This window comes from Homo sapiens, chromosome 9 (genome assembly GCF_000001405.40).
Source record: "Homo sapiens chromosome 9, GRCh38.p14 Primary Assembly".
NCBI classification, from domain to species: Eukaryota; Metazoa; Chordata; class Mammalia; order Primates; family Hominidae; genus Homo; species Homo sapiens.
Genome location: NC_000009.12, coordinates 6649731 through 6668206, shown reverse-complemented (window position 1 = coordinate 6668206; position 18476 = coordinate 6649731). Strand labels below are relative to the sequence as shown.

The window sequence follows — 18476 nt, the reverse complement described above, 5'->3', positions numbered from 1 at the left end:
ACTGTCCTTAAAAACAGTTCTCATAGGATTATTCTTTTCATGGTATTTCTTTCATAATATCTCATTTTAAAAAGAAGTTCTTTATGAACTTAGTGTCCATTGTCATGCAGTGTTATTTTTTTTTTCCATTTTTCCCGCATAATTTTGGAATTTCTGGTCCTGGAAAGAATCAAACAAAATCTTAAGTTCCATGAGAACTTGGTTCATGAACAGATTTTGCTGAAGAAAGAAAAATTAAATTGGTAGTAAAATACAGTCTTCAAGTATTAAAAAAAAATGCTCTTTGCTGAGGGAAAACACTAGATTAGTTTGTTAGGGCGCATCTAATTTTTTAATGTGACCATTAGATGGCAGCATTCAGGTGGGATTTCCTGTATCAGACCAAAGGCTTCTCCCCTCTCCCCACTTCCACCCAAAACACAAAAACAAGCTATCCTTCTGAGTGCCTCAGTTGGAACAGCAATTGAGGGATACTGTTTGGGAACGCGATTGCCAAGGGCGAAACTAAAAGAATTCTACTAGGTAGAAGAGGGGAATAATAATAAGAGTTGATAGTATTTACATGCACTAGGCATTCACTGTTCTAAGCACTTTTATATATGTTAAAATAAAGGGTAGGTAAATAAATTAACAAAACTCCAGTCCACAAACCCCCGTCTCATATAGAGGGGAGCTATAAAACTTTTTTTTGTTGTTACAGACAGGTCTCACTCTCACCCATGCTGCAGTGCAGTGACATGTGCTTGTAGCTCATTGCAGCCTCCAACTTTTGGGCTCAAGCAATCCTCTTGCCTCAGGCTCCTGAGTAGCTGGGACTACAGGTGCCTGCCACCATGCCGGCTATTTTTTATTTTATAATAAAATAATAAAATACCTAATGTATATTTTATATTGTTAAATATAATATTTATATTATATATAAATACAATGTAATATTAATATAACATTAATATAATTAAAATATAATATTTATATAATTATAATATAATAATAAGGCTGGGCGCAGTGGCTCATGCCTGTAATCTCAGCACTTTGGGAGGCCGAGGCCAACATGGTGAAACCCCATCTCTACTAAAAATAGAAAAAGTAGCCGGGTGCGGTGGCAGGCGCCTGTAATCCCACCTACTCCGGAGGCTGAGGCAGGAGAATCACTTGAACCCTGGAGGTGGAGGTTGCAGTGAGCCGAGACTGCGCCACAGCACTCCAGCCTGGGCGACAGAGCAAGACTCCATTTCAATAATAATAATAAAAATAAAATAAAATAAAAATAGCCATCATGGTGCCAAGCACCTATAGTCCCAGCTACTCAGGAGGCTGGGCAACCACCTTTGAGAAAAGGCTATCTAGTCACAACTGCTTTTTTTTTCTTTCTTTCTTTCTTTTTTTAATAGAGACAGGGTTTTGCCATGTTGCCCAGACTGGTCTTAAACTCCTGGGCTCAACCTATCTGCCTGCTATGGCCTCCCCAAAGTGTTGGGATTACAGGCTTGAGCCACTGGGCCTGGCTTACAAATATTATTATTTTTTTTGAGATGGAGTTTTGCTCTTGTTGCCCAGGCTGGACTGCAATGGCATGATCTAGGCTCACTGCAACCTCTGCCTCCCAGGTTCAAGCGATTTTCCTGCCCCAGCCTCCCGAGTAGCTGGGACGACAGGTGCGTGCCACGACGCCCAGCTGATTTTTGTATTTTTAGTAGAGACAGGGTTTCACCATGTTGGCCAGGCTGGTATCGAACTCCTGACCTCAGGTGATCTGCCTGTGTCAGCCTCCCAAAATGCTAGGATTACAGGCGTGAGCCACTGCACCCGGCATGAAAGAGTGACCTTTGGAAACTGACTGAGTCTGTTCCTCTTCTTGGGAGCTGCTGCTTTTCTTTTTTTTGAGACAGAGCCTTGCTCTGTCACCCAGGCTGGAGTGCAGTGGCGCGATCTCGGCTCACTGCAAGCTCCACCTCCCAGGTTCACGCCATTTTTCTGTCTCAGGCTCCCGAGTAGCTGGGACTACAGGCGCCCGCCACCACACCCGGCTAATTTTTTGTATTTTAGTAGAGACGGGGTTTCACTGTGTTAGCCAGGATGGTCTCGATCTCCTGACCTCGTGATCTGCCCGCCTCAGCCTCCCAAAGTGCTGGGATTACAGGCGTCAGCCACCGCACCCAGCCAGAGGAAGACTCTTAACAAATCTTGTCCATTGGAAAGGCACTGACTCAAATCTGCAGAACAAATCTTACTAAACAAGCATTGTTTACTATACTTTCTCTGGTCATCTCCCCACTACTTGCCTCCCCATTCCCAGAAACCCAAAACTCCTTTTCTTCTGTTTAGTCTGAGATGTTATATCAGTCCCAGTTCTAACCAGCCCTTGGGGTTACTCATATGGGTGTTTCCACGTATACATGCAAGATGCACAAGTTAGTGAACTTCTGTTTGCTTTACTCATGCTAATCTGTCTTTTGCCAGACTAGTTTACAGGGACTCAGCTGGAGACCCTAAGATGAGTAAAGGAAAATTACTTCTTTTCTCCCATGCATATGTTTCATCTTGACTCTACTTGGCTTTTTTTCCTCTTCATTTTTTGTGAAGGCTGTATGTGTCTGGGCTTCAATATTTTCAAATGTATGGATGAGTTGTTCGTCTTCTTGCAGTATCTTTTTTTTTTTTTTGAGATGGAGTCTTGCTGTGTCGCCCAGGCTGGAATGCAATGGCACGATCTTGGCTCACTGCAACCTCTGCCTCCCGGTTTCGAGCAATTCTCCCATCTCAGCCTCCTGAGTAGCTGAGATTAAGGACACCCGCCATCATGCCCAGCTAATTTTTTGTATTTTTGTAGAGACAGGGGTTTCACCATATTGGCCAGGCTGGTCTCGAACTCCTGACCTCAGGTGATCTACCCACCTCGGCCTCCTAAAGTGGTGGGATTACAGGTGTCAGCCACTGTGCCTGGCCATTGCAGTGTCTTTATATCCAATGCACTCACTTTCTAAAATGCATAGAGGATGTTCTATGTGCTATTCCAGAGGTCATTTTTGCAGAGATAATGGCATTTGAGATAAAACACCCATGGTTTATTTGCTCTTTTCACAAGCTGGTCACTGAGTGAACTTTGGAATTGACTCTGATACCTGTTGGTGTAAAGCTCTGTCCAGGCAGTGCTGGATTACACCACCATGGCCAGCAAAGCCAGGAAACTCCATGTGGAAGGGAAAGGCCTCAGTGAGGTGACCCACTTAAGTGTTTTGCCCAATGCCACAAGGGGGGCAAAGTCTGACCATTCTGAAAACTTGTTCCTGTTCCCTTGAGCCACTGTGGGATTTCCTCCCATCTTTAATCACTGGCCATCATAAGCAGTGATTGGAATCGGGTGCATTCCTTCCTTGTCATTCACTCTGTAGCCTTGCACAAATGGGCTGACCTGGGGTTAATTGTTACCTCAGAGGTCACAGGGATCTCCTGCGCACACATTCCATGCAGTCTTTTCCTGTTTCCCTTCCCTCTGACCTCACCGGGTTGTCTGGTCACAGTGTCCCCACCCCATTTATGACATTTTCTCCTCTTTGGTCTCCAGGACTCTATGCTGCCCTGCCTCCTCTCTCTCAAGACTTCTTTGCTTCCTTAAGGAGCTTTGCTCTCGCTCAAGTATAGGTGACCCTCAAGGTTTGGTTGGATCTGTGTGGTTGAATCCTTTCCCAAACAGCCTGCTTGAACACTGTATGCTAACTCACTTCCCCTCACCCAACCCCTGGAGATAGCTCTGGAGCTCAGATCCCTCAACCTGACCTCTGACCTCCACCACACAGGAGCAACTGGCCTGCTCTGTCCTTCCCCTTCGATGCTCCCACCAACCCCCAAGCTCACCTTTCTGGAGCTAGTCAGCTTCCTACACCCTGGACCCACTCTTCACGGACAGCCCTGTTTCCATTATGGTGGCCAAAACCCTCCCATTTGTTAGACTCACATCTCAGGAATGACCTTTGATCATTCACCTGTAAGTAGCAGTAAGGGTCTTCATTGCATTTTACTAATATCAAGTAACTGTTTTTTGTTTTGTTTTGTTTTAGACGGAGTCTCACTCTGTTGCCCAGGCTGGAGGGCAGTGGCACTATCTTGGCTCACTGCAACCTCCGCCTCCCAGGTTCAAGCATTCTCCTGTCTCAGCCTCCTGAGTAGCTGGGACTACAGACGCTTGCCACCACGCCTGGCTAATTTTTGTATTTTTAGTAGAGACGAGGTTTCACCATCTTGGCCAAGCTGGTCTTGAACTCCTGACCTCAGGTGATCTGCCTGCCTTGGCCTCCCAAAGTGCTGGGATTACAGGCGTGAGCCACCGTGCCAGGCCAAGTAACTGGTTTTTGTTTGTTTGTTTGTTTGTTTACAAATAGGACTTTTTGTCACTATTAAAAGTCTGAATTTTAAACAGATACTTGAATTGGTGGTTCATATCTATCAGCTCATTCAACTTTAGCACCTGTCTTGTCCCCAGGAGCTTTTCCAGAACTACTGCCTTGACCATGAAGCTCAATGAATTTTCCCAATTCAAACTTGGGCCGCTTTTCTTTTGAGATGGAGTCTTGCCCTGTCGCCCAGGCTGGAGTGCACTGGTGCTATCTCAGCTCACTGCAATGTCCGCCTCCCGGGTTCAAGCGATTCTCCTGCTTCAGCCTCCTGCGTAGCTGGGATTACAGGCGTGCCATCACACCTAGCTAATTTTTCTATTTTTAGTAGAGATGGGGTTTCACCATGTTGGTCAGGCTGGTCTCAAAATCCTGACCTGGTAATCCGCCCGTCTCAGCCTCCCAAAGTGCTGGGATTACAGGTGTGAGCCACTGCGCCCCGCATGCATTTTCACTTTTCTAATCAGGACATCAGGCAGAGGATAAATAGACTGGTAAGCCTTTTCTTTGTCTTTTCCAATGCTATCTGGAATCAATTTATTGACCACCTTTTCAAGTCACTTTTCTGCACCTCTCAGGTCATGTTTTCAGTCATCTCCTTGGCATACTTGTTGGTATGTGTGTAAGAGGTTTTCTGTATCTGACTGGTTTTTTTTTTTTTTTTGAGACGGAGTCTTGCTCTCTTGCCCAGGTTGGAGTGCAGTGGTGCAACCTTGGCTCACTGCAACCTCTGCCTCCTGCGTTCAAGCAATTCTCCTGCCTCAGCCTCCCAAGTAGGTGGGATAACTGGTATGTGCCAGCACACCCAGCTAATTTTTTTTTTTTTTTTTTTTTAGTAGAGACAGGGTTTCACCATGTTAGCCAGGCTGGTCTCGAACTCCTGACCTCAGGTGATCCGCCTGTCTCAGCCTCACAAAGTGCTGGGATTACAGGTGTGAGCCACAGCGCCTGGCCGACTGTTGTTTTTTACCAACACAGAATAGGCAAAGCAAGCAGTAGTAGTCTTGGTAAGCAAGACATTGGCAGTCTTGACATTAACATGAGCTGCAATCATTGCCCTTTTTTCACCATGGAACACATTTTGTCACTGCTAAGATCCATGCCATGCAAGTTAGGCGTTTTTGCTCTGAACATCCTCGATAATAAGCTTGACTTTTCTAAATGCAACTTCATCATTCAGCAAGGTTCACTTCAAACAAATGACCCTTGAGCAAACAGAGACAAATTTTCATTTCTGGAGTCCTGCTGACTAGTATTTCCCAATATTTCTTACACTGAACATAGCAGGTGCTTCCACATCATACCAGTCTTTCTTAGAAGATGGATCGAATACCTTCTTCTTGGCTCCCTTTTTGCTGCCTTTCATAAGGAGCTTGTTCTTGCCAACCACCAAGTCGCTGCTCGAAGAGCCAGAAAGGTGGAAATGCAACTCATATGAGAATTTAGGCATAGAGGGCAGGGTGTGCCATCTATGTGACCTCTCATGTAATATCTTCATTGTTAAATTTTTATTTGTCTTTTTTAAGCCTTGCCTAACTAAGCAACACCTTAAGAAATTTGGCTACCAACTCACAGCTGTTCCTTTCAATATTTTTGTTTTAAAAAATTTTTCGGGAGTGTATTCCTCCACCGTGATCCCCTCCCCCCACTAATATTAGGCTTAATTATATATATTTTAAAACTTAATTTTGGCCGGGTATGGTGGCTCATGCCTGTAATCCCAGCATGTTAGGAGGCCGAGGCAGGCGGATCACCTGAGGTCATGAGTTCGAGACCAGCCTGGCCAACATGTTGAAACCCCGTCTCTACTAAAAGTACAAAATATAGCTGGGTGTGGTGGCACGTGCCTGTAATCCCAGCTACTAGGGGGTGCTGACACAGAATTGCTCGAACCCGGGAGGTGGAGGTTGCAGTGAGCCAAGAACACACCACTGCATTCCAGCCTGGGCGACAGAGTGAGACTCCATCTCAAAAAAGAAAACCCAACTTAATTTTATCTATTTTTTTTTCTTTTTTTTGAGACGGAGTCTCTTCTCTGTCACCCAGGCTGGAGGGCAGTGGTGCGATCTCGGCTCACTGCAACCTCCGCCTCCCAGGTTCAAGCAATTCTCCTGTCTCAGCCTCCCGAGTAGCTGGGATTATAGGTGTGTGCCACCACACCCGGCTATTTTTTGTATTTTTAGTAGAGATGAGGTTTCGAACTCCTGAGCTCAGGTAATTTGCCTGCCTTGGCCTCCCAAAGTGCTAGGATTACAGGCATGAGCCACCATGCCTAGCCTATTTTTTTTTTTTGAAGAGACAGAGTCTCACTGTTGCCCAGGCTAGAGTGCAGTGGTACAATCATAGCTCACTGCACCCTTGAACTCCTGAGCTCAAGTGATCCTCCACCTCAGCCTCCCAAGTAGTTGAGACGACAGGTGCATGTCACCAAGTCTTGCTAATTTTTTCTTTTTTTGAGACAGAGTCTCACTCTGTCGCCCAGGCTGGCGTTCAGTGGCACTATCTCAGCTCACTGCAAGCTCCGCCTCCTGGGTTCACACCATTCTCCTGCCTCAGCCTCCTGAGTAGGTGGGACTACAGGTGCCCGCCACCATGCCCGGCTTTTCGTATTTTTAATAGAGACAGGGTTTCACTGTGTTAGCAAGGATGGTCTCCATCTCCTGACCTCGTGACCCACCCACCTCGGCCTCCCAAAGTGCCGGGATTACAGGCGTGAGCCACCGCGCCTGGCCCTTTTCTTTCTTTCTTTCTTTTTTTTTTTTTTTGAGACGGAGTTCCACTGTTGATGCCCAGGCTGGAGTACAGTGGCGCGATCTCGGCTCACTGCAATCTCCACCTCCTAGGTTCAAGCAATTCTCTTGCCTCAGCCTCCCGAGCAGCTCGGATTACAGGCACCCACCACCATGCCTAGCTATTTTTTGTATTTTTTAGTAGAGACAGGGTTTAGCCACGTTGGCCAGGCTGGCCTTGACTTCCTGACCTCAGGCAATCCGCCCAATCGGCCCACCTTGGCCTCCCAAAGTGATGGGATTACAGGCATGAGCCACCGCACCAAGCCAACTTTTTCTTTTTTGTAGAGATGGGGTCTTGCTATATTGCCCAGGCTGGTCTCCAACTCCTGGTATCCAGCAGCTGTCCTGCCTCAAACTCTCAAAGTGCTGGGATTACAGGCATGAGCCACTATGCCTGATCAATCTCTCCTTTTTAAAATGATTGAATTATTAGCATTTAAATGTATAGCCATATTAACTTATTCTGACTTAAGAGTCCCAACTTTCTTCTTGACCTATCTGTAAATACAGAAGCTAGAAAACTACAACCCCAGGCCAGGCGTGGTGGCTCATGCTTGTAATCTGAGCACTTTGGGAGGCTGAGGTGGGCAGATCACCTGAGGTCGGTAGTTCAAGACCAGCCTGACCAACATGGAGAAACCCCGTCTCTACTAAAAATACAAAATTAGCTGGGCATGGTGGCACATGCCTGTAATCCCAGCTACTCTGGAGGCTAAGGCAGGAGAATCACTTGAACCCAGGAGGCGGAGGTTGCAGTGAGCTGAGATTGGGCCATTGCACTCCAGCCTGGGCAACAAGAGCAAAACTCCGTCTCAAAAAAACAAAAAAAAAAAGGCCGGGCGCAGTAGCTCGCACCTGTAATCCCAGCACTTTGGGAGGCCAAGGCGGGCGGATCACGAGGTCAGGAGATCGAGACCATCCTGGCTAACACGGTGAAACCCCGTCTCTACTAAAAATACAAAAAAAATTAGCTGGGCGTGGTGGTGGGAACCTGTAATCACAGCACTTTGGGAGGCCGAGGCGGGCGGATCACGAGGTCAGGAGATCGAGACCATCCTGGCTAACACGGTGAAACCCCGTCTCTACTAAAAATACAAAAAAAATTAGCTGGGCGTGGTGGTGGGAACCTGTAATCACAGCACTTTGGGAGGCCGAGGCGGGCGGATCACGAGGTCAGGAGATCGAGACCATCCTGGCTAACACGGTGAAACCCCGTCTCTACTAAAAATACAAAAAAAATTAGACGGGCGTGGTCGCGGGCATCTGTAATCCCAGCTACTTGGGAGGTTGAGGCAGGAGAATGGAGTGAACCCGGGAGGCGGAGCTTGCAGTGAGCAGAAATCGCCCCACTGCACTCCAGCCTGGGCGACAGAGCAAGACTCCGTCTCAAAAAAAAAAAAAAGGCCCGGCGCGGTGGCTCACGCCTGTAATCCCAGCACTTTGGAAGGCTGAGGCGGGCGGATTACGAGGTCAGGAGATCGAGACCGCGGTGAAACCCCGTCTCTACTAAAAATACAAAAAAAAAAATTAGCCGGGCGCAGTGCAGGCGCCTGTATTCCCAGCTACTCGGGAGGCTGAGGCAGGAGAATGGCGTGAACCCGGGAGGCGGAGCTTGCAGTGAGCCAAGATCGCGCCACTGCACTCCAGCCTGGGCGACAGAGCGAGACTCCGTCTCAAAATAAATAAATAAATAAATAAAAATAAAAATAAAAAAGAAAAGCAGAACCTCCCTGGCAGATAGGTGTGTAAGTGGGTCTTTTTGAAAACCTGTGTAAAAGGATGCCTAGGTGCTGACTTGTTTCTTCCTAATGGTCCAACCTCTAGCATTCGTGCTCAGCCTAGGGTCTGAGTGGCTGCTCCTGACCTGGATCTTGCAGGAGGAGTTTGCGGAGGTTACACAACTTGCTCAATACCTAGGGGACTGGCATCAAATCAGCCCATCCATGATATTTAATATAAAGATATGTATCAGAGATTAGGGGGTGGCTAAAGTACCCCCCAATTCTCTTATTCTGTACCAGACATTACTCTGGATTTATAATACTCACATCTTTTGAATGATATAGTTTTTGCCATTTGATATCTTGTGAGCATTTATTACAAGATTTCAGCCCAGTAAACGACCAAAGAGGTCTTGATCTTATTGCATCATGTTGATTTACCCAAGTTAGGAACATTGTGATAAAAGCAAATAAAAATAGCAGTCTCTTTAAATATTTGGGTTTGCAAAGACTAACACTCTGGTAGTATAAGAAGAAGAAGGGAAGGAAATGATGACTTATTCAAAACTCACAATGACTGTATTTTACAAATGAGAAACAGAGGCAGAATAAAGTTAAGTAAACTGCTACAATGTACATTTTCAGTAAGTGGCAGAGCCGGGACTCATCCATAGGGATCTTGGTCAGGACTGAGATCCAGCTCCCATTCCCACAGCAAATCACGATTTACTTGGGGTAGCCCCCTGACTTGGCCAGGGCATGAATGTCTTCTGTGCGATTTTTTTTTCCATTAAAAAACACATTGGGCCAGGTGCAGTGGCTCACACCTGTCATCCCAGCACTTTGGGAGGTCAACGGGGGCTGACTGCTTGAGGCCAGGAGTTCGAGACCAGCCTGGGGAACATGGTGAAACTCCATCTCTACAAAAAATATAAAAATTAGCTGGGCATGGTGGTGAGCACCTGTAGTCCTAGCTTCCCAGTGGGGAGGGCAGGTGCTGCTGAGGCGGGAGGATTGCTTGATTCCGGGAAGGCAAGGTTGTGGTGAACCAAGATCGCACCACGGCACTCCAGCTTGGGCAATGGAGCAAGACCCAGTCTCAAAACAAAACAAAACTAAAAAAATCCATTGCATTAAAAAAAAGTTTTATTAAAAACAACAACAACACACTTCAAAGCTGGGAGTGGTGGCATGTGCCTGTATTTCCAGCTACTTGGAAGGCTGAAATGGGAATATCTTTTGAGCCTAGGAGTCAGAGGCTACAATAAGCTATGATCATGTCACTGTACTCCAGCCTGGGTGACAGAGGGAGATCCTGTCTTTAAAACCACACAAAAAAATTGGTTGGGCGTGGTGGCTCACGCCTGTAATCCCAGCACTTTGGGAGGCCGAGAAAGGCGGATCACCTGAGGTCAGGAGTTTGAGACCAGCCTGGCCAACACAGTGAAACCCCGGGTCTACTAAAATAGAAAAATTAGCCAGGTTATGGTGGCATGGGCCTGTAGTCCCAGCCACTCAGGAGGCTGAGGCAGGAGAATCGCTTGAAACCGGGAGGCGGAGGTTGCAGTGAGCCGAGATCGCGCCACTGCACTCCAGTCTGGGCAACAGTATTGTTTTTGAGACACAGTCTTGCTCTATCACCCAGGCTGGAGTGCAATGGTGCGATCTCAGCTCACTGCAACCTTCGCCTCCAGGTTCAAGTGATTCTTCTGCCTCAGCCTCCTGAGTAGTTTGGATTACAGATGCCCACCACCATGCCCGGCTAGTTTTTGTATTTTTAGTAGAGACGGGGGTTTCACCATGTTGGTCAGGCTGGTCTCGAACTCCAAGCCTCAGGTAATCTGCCCGCCTTGGCCTCCCAAAGTGCTGGGATCACAGACATGAGCCACCAGGCCTGGGGGTAAAAAATTTAAATATAAATAAAGTTTCAAGGAAAAGAGCTAGAACCAAAAAAAGAGTATTTTCTATTGGATCTATAGAAAGAGCAGTACCTATTATTTATGCGTGAAACTTACAATTTGAATGAGACAGTTCAGAGCCATGGGGTTGTGTTGAGTCACCGGCCAGCTGTACATTAAAATCCTGATACACACACACACAAACACACAAAGTAATAGCCAGGTGTGGAAGCAAATGCTCTATGCACATTGCCCGTGTGTCCTTAACAGTAAATTAGTGGCCTCTGGGCTTTGAATCAGTCTTTGGCTTTCTGTCCTTTCACAATCCTGTGCTGGTCAATGAGATACTTGAAGGCAGGTCCTCCTCTAGTGCATTTTCTCTACCACCTGTGACCACAGTTATCTTTTCGAATCTGCCTTTCCTCTTTAATTGTAATAAACGAAGAAGTATCTACTTCATAAATTTGCTCTTCGATAAATCCAAGGACTCTAGCTGGACACTCACAGGGCCAGTTAAGAGCTGAGTGGATTTTCTCTTTAAAGGAAGTCATACTGAGTTGTTAATGAGGCTTGGCATGGCAGTAATTGCTTTCAAAGGAGAAACTAGTTAACACAAATGTATCTTTAATTAGCTTATAGTGGGAAGTGATATTTTTGGACAGGGCCCCTGTATCCCTCCATTCCCTCCTTCCCCACTTCACACTTAGCCAGCCAGGAAAGAATATTAAGGTACCAACCTTGCATCTAAATCCTTTATAATTCTGCTTCTCTTGGGAAAGAAAGTATCACCTGGGAGCTAGTCCTGCTTGGCTGTTTTATTAGGAATCCAGAATCTGCATATGTCATATCTCATCTTTAGTAAAAGAATCTGAGAGGTCACAGCATGGCATTAAACCTAGTGCAATAACATTGACATTCATATAGAAACTTCACTTCTGGCTGGGTGCGGTGGCTCACGCCTGTAATCCCAACACTCTGGGAGGCTGAAGCAGGCAGATCACTTGAGGTCAGGAGTTTGAGACCAGCCTGGCCAACATGCTGAAACCCTGTCTCTACTAAAAATACAAAAATAAGGCCGGATGCAGTGGCTCACACCTGTAATCCCAGCACTTAAAGGAGGCCGAGGCTGGCGGATCACCTGAGGTTGGGAGTTCGAGACCAGCCTGACTAACATGGAGAAACCCCGTCTCTACTAAAAATACAAAATTAGCTGGGCGTGGTGGCACATGCCTGTAATCCCAGCCACTTTAGGAGGCCCAGGTGGGCAGACTGCTTGAGCCCAGGAGTTCAAGACCAGCCTCCGTCTTGCTCCATCACTAGGCTAAAGTGCAGTAGTGTGATTGTGGCTCAAGCAATCCTCCCACCTCAGCCTCTCCAGTTTCAGGGACCACAGGCACATGCCACCACACCTGACTAGTTTTCGCCTTTTTCATCCATGTCTCTGCAAGGACATGAACTCATTCTTTTTTATGGCTGCATAATATTCCATGGTGTACATATTATTAAGTCAAGAACTTTCACCTTTTCACTTAAAGGAAGTGCTTTACAGCTTCTCTGTGGCATATCCAAATTGCCAGCATCACTATTCTGAAATTTTGGGCCATTATTAAGTAAAACACAACACTGCAATATCCTGATGGTCAATCTGAGAATGGGACAACTGAGAAAGCTACGAAGTGACTGAGGGTGCACAGCATAAACAGCATGGATACACTGGACGAAGGGATGAATCACATCCCAGGCGCGATGGGGCAGGACAGTGTGAGATTTTGTCATGCTCCTTGGAACAGCATGTAGCTTAAAACTTATGAACTGTTGGCTGGGCACGGTGGCTCATGCCTGTAATCCCAGCACTTTGGGAGGCTGAGTCGGGTGGATCACCTGAGGTCAGGAGTTCGAGACCAGCCTGACCAACATGGAGAAGCCCTGTTTCTACTAAAAATACAAAATTAGCCGGGCATGGTGGTGCATGCCTGTAATCCCAGCTACTCAGAAGGCTGAGGCAGGAGAATCGCTTGACTCCGGGAGGCGGAGGTTGTGGTGAGCTGAGATCGCGCCACTGTACTACAGCCTGGGCAACAAGAGTGAAACTGTGTCAAAAAACAAAAAAACAAAAAAAAACCCAACAACTTATGAACTGTTTATTTCTGGAATTTTCCATTTATGGTTTCAGAAGGTGGTTAACTGCAGGTAACTGAAACCATGAAAAGCGAAACCACAAATAAGGGGGTCTACGGTACTCTTCCTCAGGGGCAGTCTGTGTATTGCAGCACCTTCAGTTGTTACTATGAAAGCCCTGCTGGTGCTGTAGTTAAGTTTTGGAAACAGGGTGTGTTCTATAATGTTCCAATTAAATACTGGTGTTTTCACAGCCCTCTGTCTTGGGCTATGAACTTCACAATTGTTTTTCCAGTGATATAGTTCCTTTCTCTTCTGTCCTGTGTTCTCTGGCTGCAGAGTCGCTGGTTGATTTCCTCTCAGCCCTGACCCGTTTATTCTGTTTTCTTTTATTTTTCCTTCATTATGTAAGACAAGAAGGCTGGAGGAGGCTAGAGTACGAGGCATTCCATTCCTCAGCTGGGATAAAGCTCTGGCACAGTCCCTTCCTTCGGAGAGTAAGCTTTTGCTATGAAGCAAGCTCTGGACATCCCCCTCAAACCTGTCCACACTCAGCCTTCCTTAATTTATCAAAAATATTACCATTTACGTGTTCCTACCTAATGTGTCAAAAAAATTTATTGATTTTCAATTTGTTCATTTTTTTTTTTTTAGAGATGGAGTCTTGTTCTGTTGCCCAGGCTCGAGTGCAGTGGTGCGATCTCAGCTCACTGCAACCTCCACCTAGTAGCTTCGAGAGATTCTCGTGCCTCAGCCTCCTGAGTAGCTGGGACTACAGGCACATGCCACCATTCCCAACTAATTTTTGTATTTTTAGTAGAGATGGGGTTTAGCCATATTGGCCAGGCTGGTCTTGAACTCCTGACCTCAAGTGATCCACCCACCTTGGCCTCCCAAAGTGCTGGGATTACATGCGTGAGCCTAGCCTTTATTTTTATTTATTTATTTTTAAGACAGGGTCTTGCTCTGTCACCCAAGCTGGAGTGCATTGTCAAAATCATAGCTCAATGAAGCCTCAAAATCCTGGGCTGAAGTGCTCCTCCTGCCTCAGTCTCCTATGTCCAGCCCAGAGTGGTTTTAGATATGTAGGGTTTACCATTATCTTATGTTCTAGTAACCTAAGATGCCTGGGTATTTTTGTGTCCTTAGTAAATGGCCACAGGTATCTTTGAGGGAGTTCAGAAGGAAGATTTATAGTATATTCTCATAGCCTGGTAAGATCTTTTTTCAAGAGTCCTTTTTCAACCTCCCCTTCATCTGGGTCTGTGAACTCTCTGAAGTCAGGGAATTGGTTGAAAAGCTGGGTCTCTCAATTTTGGAGACTTATATCAAGTTTTTGTTCACCAGATCAAGTTACATCTTTAGTAGTCTGCCCATCAATTTGTGAACACCAAAGATCCCCGTGGATCACCTGACGGGTTACCCCTCTGATCCACTGCCCATTATGACAACGTTGCTCATCTCCATTGACCAGTGCTGCCACTTGGCTTCTACCACTCCAGGATTCCATCATTAACATTAGAATCAAGGAGCCCATCTCAACAGTTCCATTGTGTACCACCATCTTATATCTGTAGAGGACCGCAGCCACAGGACTTTTCAAAAACACTGGTGCTGCTCTTACCAATGGACTTCCCAATACTCTGGTGAAGGGATTGTCCTCTGGTTTCTTCTGAGGGATACACTGAAAGTGCGGAAGAGTGTGTTACTCATGACAAATCTACTTCAACATTCCTTTCTCACCAAGACTTAGATCCTTCTCTATTATTCCAAGGACGTTCTAGGATTTCTTTTTTTTTGAGACAGGTTTTTTTTTTTTGGAGACATGTCACCCAGGCTGGAGTGCAGTGGCACAATCATGACGCATTGCAGCCTCAACCTCCCAGACTCAAGCAATCCTCCTGCCTCAGCCCCCAGAATAGCTGGGACCACAGAGGCATGCAACCACACCCAGCTAATTATTATATTTTTTGTAGAGACAGGAGTCTCACCATGTTGCTCAGGCTGGTCTAGAACTCCTGGGTTCAAGTGATCTACCCTCCCCAGCCTCCCAAAGTGCTGGGATTACAGGTGCAAGCCACTGTGCCCGGACAGAAGTCCTAGTATCTTAACCTAATTTAATGAAGGCACTGTTAAGTATGATTTCATCAATCAACTCAGCAAACTAAAAAGCCACTCCTGGCTGATTGAGCTAACACACTGAATCCAGAATCTCTCGTACTACAAATAAATCAATAATTTCAATTTTATATTCCTTTTTGTCTGGTTTAGAATCCACTCCCATAGAAACCCTCTGGTGATAATATATATTAGCAACATTTTGCAATTCTTTCCTTGTGTAAGCTTCTCCTCTGATGTCAAATGTTCTACTCATCTTCTTGGGGTATGGTTAAGATCTGATTCTGGTTGTGGATCTGAAAGCAAAGAAGCATTGACATTCCATTGCAAGGTTAGTGCCTTTAGCGAAGTCATTACAGGATCTTCATGCAAGGTATTGCCAGTTTATGAAAGAGGGCAGGAGGAATGGGTTTACCTATCAAAGGAGACTCAGTGGGATTTGGGGTTTCAAGATAATAAAATTCATTCCAAGCTACAAACATGTTCCCATTCCAAGTTCGAAGATTTCTTTCTTTCTTTCTTTGTCTTTTTTTTGTTTTGTTTTTTCCTTTTTGCGGAGAATGGGGTCTCGCTATACTGCCCAGGCAGGTCTGGAACTCCTGGGCTCAAGCTATCCTCCCTCCTCTGCCTCTCTGAGAGCTGGGATTACAGGCGTGAGCCACTGTGCCCAGCCCTTTCTTTTCTTTTTTTGAAACGGAGTCTTGCTCTGTTGCCCAGGCTGGAGTGCAGTGTCTCAATCTTGGCTGACTGCAACCTCCACCTCCTGGGTTCAAGTAATTCTCCTGCCTCAGCCTCCTGAGTAGCTGGGATTACAGGCGCCTGCCACCATGCCCGGCTAATGTTTGTATTTTCAGTAGAGATGGGGTTTCACCATGCTGCCCAGGCTGGTCTTGAACTCCTGACCTCAAGAGGTCCACCCACCTCGGCCTCCCTAAGTGTTGGGATTACATGCGTGAGCCACTGCACCTGGCGATTTCTTTCTCATTTAAGAGATGGAGTCTTCTGTTGCCCAAGATGGAATGCAGTGGTGTGATTATAACTAGGACCACAGGTATGTGTCACAATACCGGCTTTTTTTTTTTTGAGATGGATTCCCACTCTGTCACCCAGACTGGAGTGCAGTGGCGCAATCTGGGCTCACTGCAACCTCCACCTCCCAAGTTCAAGCGATTCTCCTGCCTCAGCCTCCTGAGTAGCTGGGATTACAGGCGCTCGCCACCATGCCTGGCTAATTTTTGTATTTTTAGTAGAGATGAGGTTTCACCATGTTGGCCAGGCTGGTCTCAAACTCCTGACCTCAGGTGATCCACCCACCTTGGCCTCCCAAAGTGCTGTGATTACAGGCATGAGCCACCGTGCCCAGCCCTGGCTAATTTTTAAATTTTTTGTAGAGACAGCCAGGCTATGCTGCCCAGGCTGGTCTCAAACTCCTGGTCTCAAGCAATGCTCCTTCCTCAGCCTCCTGAGGTGCTGAGATTATAGGCCTGAGCCACCATGCCAAGCCTTTTTTTTTTTTTTTTTTTAATTTTTAAATTTTTAAATAGCTGGGACTCCTGGAGCAGTACCCCCAAGACCTCATGGATACGAAGGGTTTCCAATTAATTCCAAAATTTCACTTATGGTCCAATTTCATCATAGTGCCTAAGAAGTTCATCTGAATTTATGCCATATTATCCATAGCCAGAATTCAGAGCAATTCTGGAATCAGACAATTTGACACCTGTAAACTGTTCAAGTCTAGGGTCTACATCAACACCCCCCAACTTTTTTGAGATGGGGTCTCGCTGGGCTCCCCAGGCTGGTCTAGAACTCCTGGGTCCCGGCTAGGACTACAGGCATGTGCCATCATGCTCAGCCCCATGAACAACTTCTATATGTATAGCTCTGCGTAAAAAGACCATTGTCAACTGCACATATATAAGTTTATTTATTTATTTATTTATTTTTGAGACAGAGTCTCACTCTGTCACTCAGGCTGGAGTGCAGTGGTGAACTCGGCTCACTGCAACCTCCACCTCCCAGGTTCCAGCGATTCTCTGCCTCAGCCTCCCAAGTAGCTGAGACTACAGATGTGTGCCACCGCGCCTGGATAATTTTTTTATTTTTTGGTAGAGATGGGGTTTCACCACGTTGGCCAGGTTGGTCTCGAACTCTTGACCTCAGGTGATCCACCCACCTTGGCCTCCCAAAGTGCTAGGATTACAGGTGTGAGCCACCGTGCCTGGCCCCTTTATTCATTTCAAGGGCTATGGTTCCCGAAATGTCACCAAGTTTGTTACATTACTGTCCACTTTCTTCATCCTCTTCTCTTTTTCTTTTCTTCTCTTTGCTTTTTTCTTCTTATTTTTAAGTCTTCTTTCTTTTAGACTTTACATAAGAATATTCTGATGAATGCCAGTTGTGGTGGCTCATGCCTGTAATCCCAGCACTTTGGGAGGCCGAGGCAGGCCGACCACAAGGTTAGGAGTTCGAGACCAGCCTGGCCAACATGGTGAAACTCCATCTCTACTAAAAATACAAACAGTAGCTGGGCATGGTGGCGGGTGCCTATAATCCCAGCTACTCGGGAGGCTGAGGCAAGAGAATTGTTTGAACCCGGGAGGCGGATGTTACAGTGAGCTGAGACTGCGCCATTGCACTCCAGCCTGGGCAGCAGAGTGAGACTCTGTCTCAAAAAAAAAAGAAAAGTATTCTGATGAGACTTCTGAATAAGAGGTGGAAGCTGGCTCAGGACAAAATATTTGTGCTAGAGCAGAACGGGCAGGGGAGGAACAAAAGTGGAGGCAGGCCAGGTGCGGTGGCTCACGCCTGTAATCCCAGCACTTTGGGAGGCTGAGACGGGCGGATCACCTGAAGTCAGGAGTTTGAGACCAGCCTGACCAACATGGAGAAACCCCGTCTCTACTAAAAATATGAAAAAATTAGCTGGGCGTGGTGACGCATGCCTGTAATCCCAGCTACTCGGGAGGCTGAGGCAGAAGAATCGCTTGAACCTGGGAGGCGGAGATCGGGACATTGCACTCCAGCCTGGGCAACAAGAGCAAAACTCAAAAAAAAAAGAAAAGGGGGAGGCAAAGGAAAAAACTCCCTGAAAGCTCATACAATGGCAGGGAGTGAATGTGTCTCTCAGGAATCTCTTGCCTTTTTCACCCAAACATTAAGCCCTCCTCAATCTGCTTTTGGCTTCCATTATAGCCTTTGTTTGGGTTTATTCAGGAAAACTAACTGTTTTGAAAAAGCACTATAACTGTGCTTCCTCTGGTCTCACACCACACTACAACAATCAACACAGAAGATTTCCATGATCTGGCTGGGCGTGGTGGCTCATGCCTGTAATCCCAACACTTTTGGAGGCCAGGGTGGGCGGATCACTTGAGGTCAGGAGTTTGAGACCAGCCTGGCCAACATGGGGAAACTCCATCTCTACTAAAAAAAAAA

General features: G+C 46.4%; 2 pseudogenes, besides 5 other annotated features; both read right to left on the bottom strand.

Annotated features, from left to right (window-relative positions):
• Positions 3033 to 3177: an enhancer, noted in NCBI's record as "145 bp enhancer 135 fragment used in the MPRA reporter construct; PK_construct_1739". NCBI's record gives its function as "activates an SV40 promoter by MPRA in HepG2 cells {active_cell/tissue: HepG2}" and the evidence as "EXISTENCE:reporter gene assay evidence [ECO:0000049][PMID:23512712]".
• Positions 3098 to 3111: a transcriptional cis regulatory region, noted in NCBI's record as "HNF4 motif; enhancer activity is reduced when this motif is scrambled". NCBI's record gives its function as "necessary for full MPRA enhancer 135 activity {active_cell/tissue: HepG2}" and the evidence as "EXISTENCE:site-directed mutagenesis evidence [ECO:0005528][PMID:23512712]".
• On the bottom strand, positions 4410 to 5783 carry RPS3AP54 (RPS3A pseudogene 54; annotated as a pseudogene).
• On the bottom strand, positions 6265 to 6556 carry RN7SL123P (RNA, 7SL, cytoplasmic 123, pseudogene; annotated as a pseudogene).
• Positions 11091 to 11190: an enhancer, noted in NCBI's record as "active region_28194". NCBI's record gives its function as "activates an Ori minimal core promoter by ATAC-STARR-seq in GM12878 lymphoblastoid cells {active_cell/tissue: GM12878}" and the evidence as "EXISTENCE:reporter gene assay evidence [ECO:0000049][PMID:35858748]".
• Positions 11091 to 11631: a biological region, named in NCBI's record as "NANOG hESC enhancer GRCh37_chr9:6656576-6657082".
• Positions 11125 to 11631: an enhancer, noted in NCBI's record as "NANOG hESC enhancer chr9:6656576-6657082 (GRCh37/hg19 assembly coordinates)". NCBI's record gives its function as "activates a minimal SCP1, AML or CMV promoter by ChIP-STARR-seq in naive H9 embryonic stem cells {active_cell/tissue: H9 hESC(naive)}" and the evidence as "EXISTENCE:reporter gene assay evidence [ECO:0000049][PMID:30033119]".